Here is an 8,613-nt window from a genome sequence, read left to right on the forward strand (position 1 = left end):
TCAACTCCCCCATGTGCCAGTGGTAGTTTTCTGTGGATCCCAAAAGAAGATCAAGGCCCTGGAAAAATTAAGGAAAATCAGGGATTGTGTTGGTGCATCCTGTTCTTAGGTTGAAAAAGTGCAACTGTAACTCCACCCCCCACAGCAATCCAGCTTAACTGGATATTCCAGAACAAGGCTGCCCACTGGGCTGGACACATCCCAAGAAGGGTGGGGAGAGTTACAAAAACCAGGTCCGCCCTTAGCCCAATCCAGCCAGCAAATAGCAGAGGGACTTGTTTTTCCTAAATTCAGTTATTAAAATAGAAGAACTTCTCTCAGCATTTAATGATATTGTTTTGTCCAAAATTACTTTTCTTGTTTAGAGCTCAACATATTCATGTCAAATATCTTTATGGTTGGACACATATTTGTAACTCTTTACATTCCTAGCTAATGGAAAGTTGGGAGTCATCATTGTAATTTTCCCAGGATGCTTTAAGATGCTTCATCATAAACACATCCTATGTTTGAATGATGGTTGGCAATGTTGAGATTGACAGCTTCAATATGCACTTTAATTTCTCAATAACATAAGTCATAGTTAGATACATTGTAGTTTTTTCCTCCTTTATTTTTCTGATACCTGCCTTCAGAAGTGAAGTTCAACAGTAGGGGAGCACTTGCCTTCCATTAATATTTAGATGGACCATACTGACATCTCATTAACTAACTTACAAAGTGTCACATGTTATCTGTGACAGCATGGATGAACCTGGAGGACATTATGTTAAGTGAAATAAGCCAGGCACAGATTCTCACTTATATGTAGAATCTAAAAATGTTGAACTCATAGAAGCAGAAAGTAGAATGGTGATTGCTAGGGGCTGCAGGTGAAGAGTGCTGGGGAGATATTGGTCAAAGGACACAAAATTTCAGTTCATCAGGAAGAAAAGTTCAATAAATCTATTGTACGATATGGAGACTATAGTTAATGTATTCTTGAGTATTGCTAAAAGAGTAGATTTTAAATGTTCTCACAACAAAAAAATGATAAGTATGTGAGGCCACACACAGGTTAATTAGTCGATTTAGCCATCCCACAATGTCCACGTATTTCAAAACACATCATCTTTTACCCAATAAATATATACAATTATTTGTGTCAATTAAAAAAAAAGACTCACAGAGTACAGATTAGAATGGAGGAGGATGGAGATTAAATCTGGAGGAGCAAGCAGAAAATGTCCAGTTGTCAAGTGAAGTAAGCTAAGCGATGACCTGGAGACACACTGTAATTGATCCAACTCACAGTGGAAGCTGGAAAGGATCAAAGGTCCTGGCAGGGAGCAACAGAGGCTGGGAGAAAGAAGGGGCTTTAACCTAAGGAGAGGTGCAGCAGTGTATGCAGGAGATAGGGGTTTACATAAGAGCCACTGGAGAAACATCGTCCATTATTGGATCCCTGAATGTTCCCTGAATGTTCTCTGTGGGCTCTGTTTGTTTCTTTCTTACTTTCTGTTTCTTCTTTAGGGTTCTCTAACAGGTCTGCTGACTTGGCAAAAATGTCTGGTAGCCCTAGCTAGCTCCTTCCACTTATATTTAAACTTGAAATATTCATTCTCATGAAAATGATGATATAAGCAATAGATTTCCAGATCTACCCATAAAATTCCCTTTTCATTCAAATGTGACTGGAGTCTTAACAAGATATTAACATTTCAAAGCCAGCCTCAAGCATAAAAAGTGATGTTACCTAAGAAGTCAAAGGAGAAAAGAGTGACAGCCTGTCTGGAGTTAGGCAATCCCTGGCCCCACAACATGGATGGAAATAATTAAGGAGAAGATGAAAATAATTTGAGGCTGGGCATGGTGGCTCATGCCTGTAATCCCAACACTTTGGAAGGTCAAGGTGGGAGAATCTTTTGAGGCCAGGAGTTTGAGACCAGCTAGGCAACGTGGCTAAACTGTAGTGTCTTTACAAAATATACAAAAATTAGCTGGGTGTTGTGACATGTGCTGGGGAAGCTGAGGTGGGAGAATCACTTGAGCCTGGGAGGTCAAGTGATCCTCCCAGTGAACTGTGATTGTGCCACTGCACTCCAGCATGGGTGACAGAGTAAGACTCTATCTCCAAAACAAACAAACAAACAAACAAACAAACAAAAATACATTTGAGGGATAAAGGCGGTGCCATACTATTGAGGTTCACAGAGTGGAAGGAAGAAAGATCCATGCTATGGTGCTAGTAAGAGAAGTTGTTGGAGCACAAATCTCTGTTGAGCTCAAGGAGGCAGCAGTTAGGAGTGGTCATTGCGGGGATTAGAGATTTCAGAGTATTTTTATAAATGGCACTACCCTCAGATGGGGGAAAAGCAATGGCACAACACCCACCCAACTTGACAGTGTCAAGGACCATTTGATAACATGAGAACAACCTGAGCCGCAAATTTTGTGACAGTCCTGCGCCATCTACAATAGCTGATACTCAAGGGGCAGAGCAGAACTAGTTGCCTACAAGAATCAAATAATTTTGGGAGATAGATTCAAAATTTCTTCTGCTGAAAAGCTAGTCATAGTATATTAAAAACAAAAAAACAAACAACAACAACAACAAAAACACTGGGTCAAACCTTAAAAGATAAAATGGACTTGGGAAGGAAAATGTGATGGTTTAGTCTATTTACATTTGTTGTCACCCTGTCACATAACACTAATCAGTGAATCAGGTGTCCTCTGTATATGTGACAAAAGGACGAGGTTTCCACTATAGACATGCATGTCAATGCTCCAGATGCTGAAAAGATGGATATAATGGGACGCTTGGCGAGACTAATGGTTTTAGTTCTTTAGATAGTGAAATGTCACTTTAAAAATGCTACTAATATCTGTTTTTGGAAAAGATTTTTTTTTTTTTTTTGAGATGGAGTCTCCCTCTGTGGCCCAGGCTGGAGTGCAGTGGCACAATCTTGGCCCACTGCAAGCTCTGCCTCCAGGTTCAAGTGATTCTCCTGCCTCAGCCTCCTGAGTAGCTGGGATTACAGGCATACCCCACCATGCCTGGTTAATTTTTGTACTTTTAGTAGAGATGGGGTTTCATCCTGTTGGCCATGCTGCTCTCAAACTCCTGACCTCAAGTGATCCACCCGCCTTGGCCTCCCAAAGTACTGGGATTACAGACGTGAGCAACCGCGCCTGGCCTGGAAGTGAAAATTTTAATTTACTTTATTAAATTAAATTAAATTAATTTAATTTAATTAATGTTTCAAAAAACTTTTGAATAGATTTCCTTTATTTACACAATGACCTGAATGGCGATACTCTAGATTAAGATATCAAATGGTATTGTGATATTGTGTTATAATAAGAAATATGTATTTGGTCTCTGCTCTTGGTTCCTGGCACACAACTCCTAAAACCCCTGGAATGTCCATAGTAATAAGAGTGTCTTTTGTATGCTAATGAGGTGACTGGTGGCTAGTAGTCCCTACATAGCTTCAGGATGTGGGCTGGTCACTAGAAAGACCAAGGTGTGATTAGATGATTGGGACTACCCCACCAACCTCCAGGGAGGGGACGGGGCAAGGGACTGAAAGCTGAATTGAACACCAATGGCCAGGGATTGTAAACAATCATGCCTACATAATGAGGCTTCTGTAAAAACACTCCAAAGAACTGGGTTTAGATTGTTGAATACATGGAGGTACCAGGAGGGTGGCATGCCTATTGAGGACATGGACTCTCTCCAAACCGCTTCCCATATGCCTCGCCCTGCGCACCTCTTCCATTTAACTGTTCATCTGTATCCCTTGTAATATCCTTTATGGTAACTGGTAAGTGTTAAGTGTTTCCTTGAGTTCTGTGAGTCATCCAGAAAAATAATCAAACCTGAGGAAGATATCAGGGGAACTCTGATTTATAGCCAGTTGGTTAGAAGCACAGGTCACAGCCTGGGGTTTGCAATTGGCATTTGAAGTGGGGCAGACTTGTGAGACTGAGCCCTTAACCTGTGGGATCTGATGCTGTCTCCAAGTAGATAGTGTCAGAATTGACTTAAATTGTAGGACACCCAGCTGGTGTTCTTTGGAGAATTGCTTAATATATAGGGGAAACTGTCCCCATACATCTGGTGTCAGAAGTGATATGAGAATGAGAGTGAAAGATAAGAAAAACCTGTGTTTTTCTTATCCCAGATAGGTATTTAGGAATATAATTTGGGTCCATCTTTAAAACCATGCCTCCGTAGACATATTTTTTATTTCTTATTCTTGAATTTGAATATTCCATGTCTGACAATTACTTGTTCTCAGAGGATGTTAATATCTTCATGTGTAAATTGACAGGAGATTAAAACCCAGGTTAAAATCTGAAATGAGGCCATGTAAGGAGGGACTATGGTCTGATTGTTTCCACTTCACATGGCGGGAGATACCATGACAAAGATTTGGTTGTACTTTCAAGCTCAACCTGCACTGAACTAGGAATGTTCTGTGTGAAGTGTTAGTTAAGACTAAACAACTTTGGGAAACTCACTCTGGATTGTCACTCACTCTGGACTCATCATTTTCTTGTCTGAGTCATCGGTCAGATTATATACTCCTGTGGGGAGAAGGAAGTGAATTTCTCTCTTAAGGAAATGCTTTCTTTTCCCACCATTGATCATCCTGGAGTAGAAAAGGGGTGTTGGATATGGGAGGGAAAGATTTCCTCCCTTTTTTGGGGAACTGGGACATGAAGGGGAAAAGAGATATTCTGCTTGTGTAGGTTGAGCAGTTTTCTTTGCCACATGAAGGAGTGAAGGCAGGGCCTACGGGCCTATTTTAGATCTGTGGCCCCAACTACTAGCAGTATTTGAAATTAGTGTTGAACCAGGGTGTTATGGTAAAAGCCAAAAGCAACTTCATTTTTGTCTCTCGCTGAACTTTCTCAGTGAGGGTGATCCTTTCCCTACTCCTGGTCGAAAACTTGGGTAGTCAATGGTTACAGATAATAAAATGTTATGGGTCAATCACTGTGGCTCACACCTGTAATACCAGCACTTTGGGAGGCCAAGGCTGGCAGATCCCTTGAGCCCAGGAGTTCGAGACCAGCCTGGGCAACATGGTGAAACCCTGTTTCTGAAAAAAAAAGTAATAATAATAATTAAAAAAAGATTAGCCAGGCATGATGGAGCATCTATAGTCCCAGCTACTCTGGGAGCTGAGATGGGAGGATTGCTTGAGCCTGGGAGGTTGAGGCTGAAGTGATTGTACCCCTGCACTCCAGCCTGGGTGACAGAGTAATACCCTGTCTCAAACAAACAAACAAAAGAGTTATGATTACTTTAAGGTGAAACTTCCATCTTAATGTGGTATTTGTGTTTTTGCTCTTCTCCCATTCAGCGTCTGGTGCAGACAAGAACATGCCATCTGGGAAGGAAAGACATCATGAGCTCCTCTCTTTCTTCTTCCTTTATCCATCCATTGCTCTTGCCTTCCCCACCTGTGTTAAAGCAAGAGGAGGGAGAAAGGAAATGGGGATTGGAAAATTCTTGACCAGAACTATTAAAAGATTGTTCTGGGCTCTCTGGACCTGACAGGTATTTAAGAACAAATCTTTCTCTCATGAGCACTTTTACAGGCTCTTTGAGGATTTCTCTACTAATTCTGTTTGATTTTTGCTCCCTTGACATAGCTATTCCAGATCCCTATTTAATCCCTTGGATTCATGCACCTCTGTCCTATGGTTGGAGGTGAGTCCATTGCTTCCCAGACATAGCCTCTACTCTGCTGTCCCAGGCTACTTTAGCTTTCTCATATGTGAGTCAGACATCTATGAACTTTAGAAATCAGACATCAAATTCTCTGCATGGTTTCACTGACATCTCTTTCATAGGCTTTATTTGTTCTTTATTGCATTCCTCTCCAAGGGTTCACTCTTTTCCTTGCTATAGTATGTCTTTGAGTAGTTCTTTTATCAAGCATCAGTGGAGTTTTGTAGGTTTTAAATGTCTATATTATGTAAGTGCTCTTGAATGATTTTTAGCTGGGTATAAAATTACATTTTATTAGTAATTTCTTTTTAGCACTTTGAAGACCTTACTTCATTGTCTTTTGGCATGTATTGCTGGGAAAGGGGAGTCTGCTATAAGTATAATTTTTACTTTCTAAGATTTTTGTCCTTTTTTTCTGTTAGCTTTTATGATTTTTTTTTATCCTTTCGTTCCATAACTGTGCTACCTTTGCTTTGTCAAGCTAGGTTTTATTTCACTTATCCTTTCTATCATTTAATAGGCACTTAAAAAATCTGACATTTTTCTTCAATTCTTAATCCTTTACCAGTCTTTCAATATTGTTCTATTCTTTTGGAGAGCCTCATATATTATACATTTAGTAAAATCCTTTAATCTAATCTCTATTTCTCTTCATTTCTCATTCATATTTTAATATCTTTATTGGTCTGTATTTATCATCAAATTTTTGTGCTAGTTTCCAGTATTCACTAATTCAGTTTTTTATTTTGCCCAGGCCAGAGTACAGGCCATCCTTGGTTTGCATGATGCTATGTTAACTGAAACCTATGCATATCAGAACCCTGTCCTCAGTTATCACAGAATCATGCAAAGTGAAGACATGGTTGCATGAGGTTTGGCTAGCACAACACTGTGCAAAGTGAGGACCACCTGTATATCCAATTCATAAAATGTTTGTATTTCTATGACTATATTTTTCATTTACAGAATTTTCAATTGGTTATTTTTCATGTCCATTGGTTCTTAATCTAATCTGCCTTTTCCCTACTTTTTTTGTTGATTGTAAAGCATGCTATTGCTTCACTTATTTTCTTGAAGTTCTTAAATGTACATACTTAAAGTGATTTTTTGAGTGCAGTTTACAATTGTATTTTTTTTTTTTTTTTGAGACAGAGACTTGCTCTGTCACCCAGGCTGGAGTGCAGTGGTGCGATCTCGGCTCACTGTGACAAACACCTCCTGGGTTCAAGTGATTCTCCTGCCTCAGCCTCCCGAGTAGCTGGGATTACAGGCACACACCACCACGCCCAGCTAATTTTTGTATTCTTAGTAGAGACAGAGTTTCATCATGTTTGCCAGGCTGGTCTTGAATCTTGACCTCATGATCTGCCCACCTTGGCCTCTCAAAGTGCTTGGATTACAGGCGTGAGCCACCATGCCTGGCCTACAATTGTATTTTGAGAGCCATGAATTAATTTCTCCATAATTAAGTTTGTTGGCTGGCTCTTTGTGTTCATTCTCTTTCCTTGCTCTGAAATTTTTATTCACATTTTTATCTTGAGTGGAAATTTCTTGTCTTCTTCGCTATGCTAATTCTATCCTGTTTGGCATTTTCGAAGTTATCTTCCACTAATCTCAGGACCTGCAATCTAGAACTAGGTGTACAGTTGGAAATTTAGGGTTCCTGTCCTGCAACGGTAGTAGAGACAACAGATCCACTCATTCAGCTGTCAGGGAGCTTGTCAGCTTCTGTCCACATGGCATTCTCTGTCTCCAGCCACCACATATACACAGTTAACGATGCCCCCTTTCCCTGTGGGCAAGTTCTGCCTCAGCTCCTATTTCACAGTGTGACATTGGATATGATTCTCTTTTATGCATGGGGATGATTTTAGTTCCTGTCATCCAGCTCTCCCCTTCCCCTGAAAGAAGAACACCCAAAGTATTATCAAGTGACTCGATCTAACCTCAACATACAGATTCTTCAGCGGCGTTCAGTTCTCTCAGTTGGACATGAATGTTGCTCTTGTTGCTCTACATGGTTGGATGAATTACTGCTGAATGATGTTTGATTATCCCAATATAGAATGATAGAAAAGGAAAGAGTAACTACAATAAAAATAATTTAAACTCATTTGGAAAAAGGGAATATAGGAAACATTACACAGTGGCCACCATTTTATAGCACATAATCTTAATGAAGAGGAGTAATAAGATTCCCTTTTCTTGCCAGAAATGTTAGCTCTGGGGTCAGCCAATCTAGTTTACTTAAGGCGTATTTACAGGAGGGCATACCTTGTTGATTGACAAATGTGGCCACGTCTAAAAAGGGATTTGGGGAGAAAGCTATCATGGGGGCTGTAACAATTACAAGTCTGTTTCATAATTCATTGGTTTAGGAGTCGATGGATTGCCTTAATGGACAAATAATCATGGGTTCTTGTAGTTTGCCAAGCATGAGTTTCTCTAGAAATATACATTTCTTAAAACAAAATGAATTTCAACCTATTTCTGTTTACTGAACTCCAGTGCCAAATAACCAATGACTAGTTAATCATTGACTCTATAATCCAGCCTGAAACTTTCTCTCTCCTAAAAATAGGACAGGGCTTTGTCCATTGTCCAGCCCTCAGTTGAACTTGGATTCTGCCTCCACATTCTATTACATGCCGAAAAGGGTGAGCTTTCCGAGGCAAAGAGGTATCTTCTTCAGTCTGTACTTTCACAAGGACCAGTTCCAACTTAAGCTTTTCTATTTCTTATTGAAATAACCAAGGTTAGACGATCCATTCTAACATCCTGTGTGTTTCCTATCAAAAATAGTAGTAGTGTAGTTTAGGTGGGTTGAATGTATTCCACATCACCTCAGTTCAGCTAATTCTACATCTTAGAACCTGTCATTT

General features: G+C 40.0%; 1 annotated feature.

The window, feature by feature from the left end:
• Positions 4,432-4,632: a silencer, noted in NCBI's record as "peak1252 fragment used in MPRA reporter construct". NCBI's record gives its function as "represses an SCP1 promoter by STARR-seq MPRAs in K562 erythroleukemia cells {active_cell/tissue: K562}" and the evidence as "EXISTENCE:reporter gene assay evidence [ECO:0000049][PMID:32103011]".

Source organism: Homo sapiens, chromosome 11 (genome assembly GCF_000001405.40).
Source record: "Homo sapiens chromosome 11, GRCh38.p14 Primary Assembly".
Classification (NCBI taxonomy): Eukaryota; Metazoa; Chordata; class Mammalia; order Primates; family Hominidae; genus Homo; species Homo sapiens.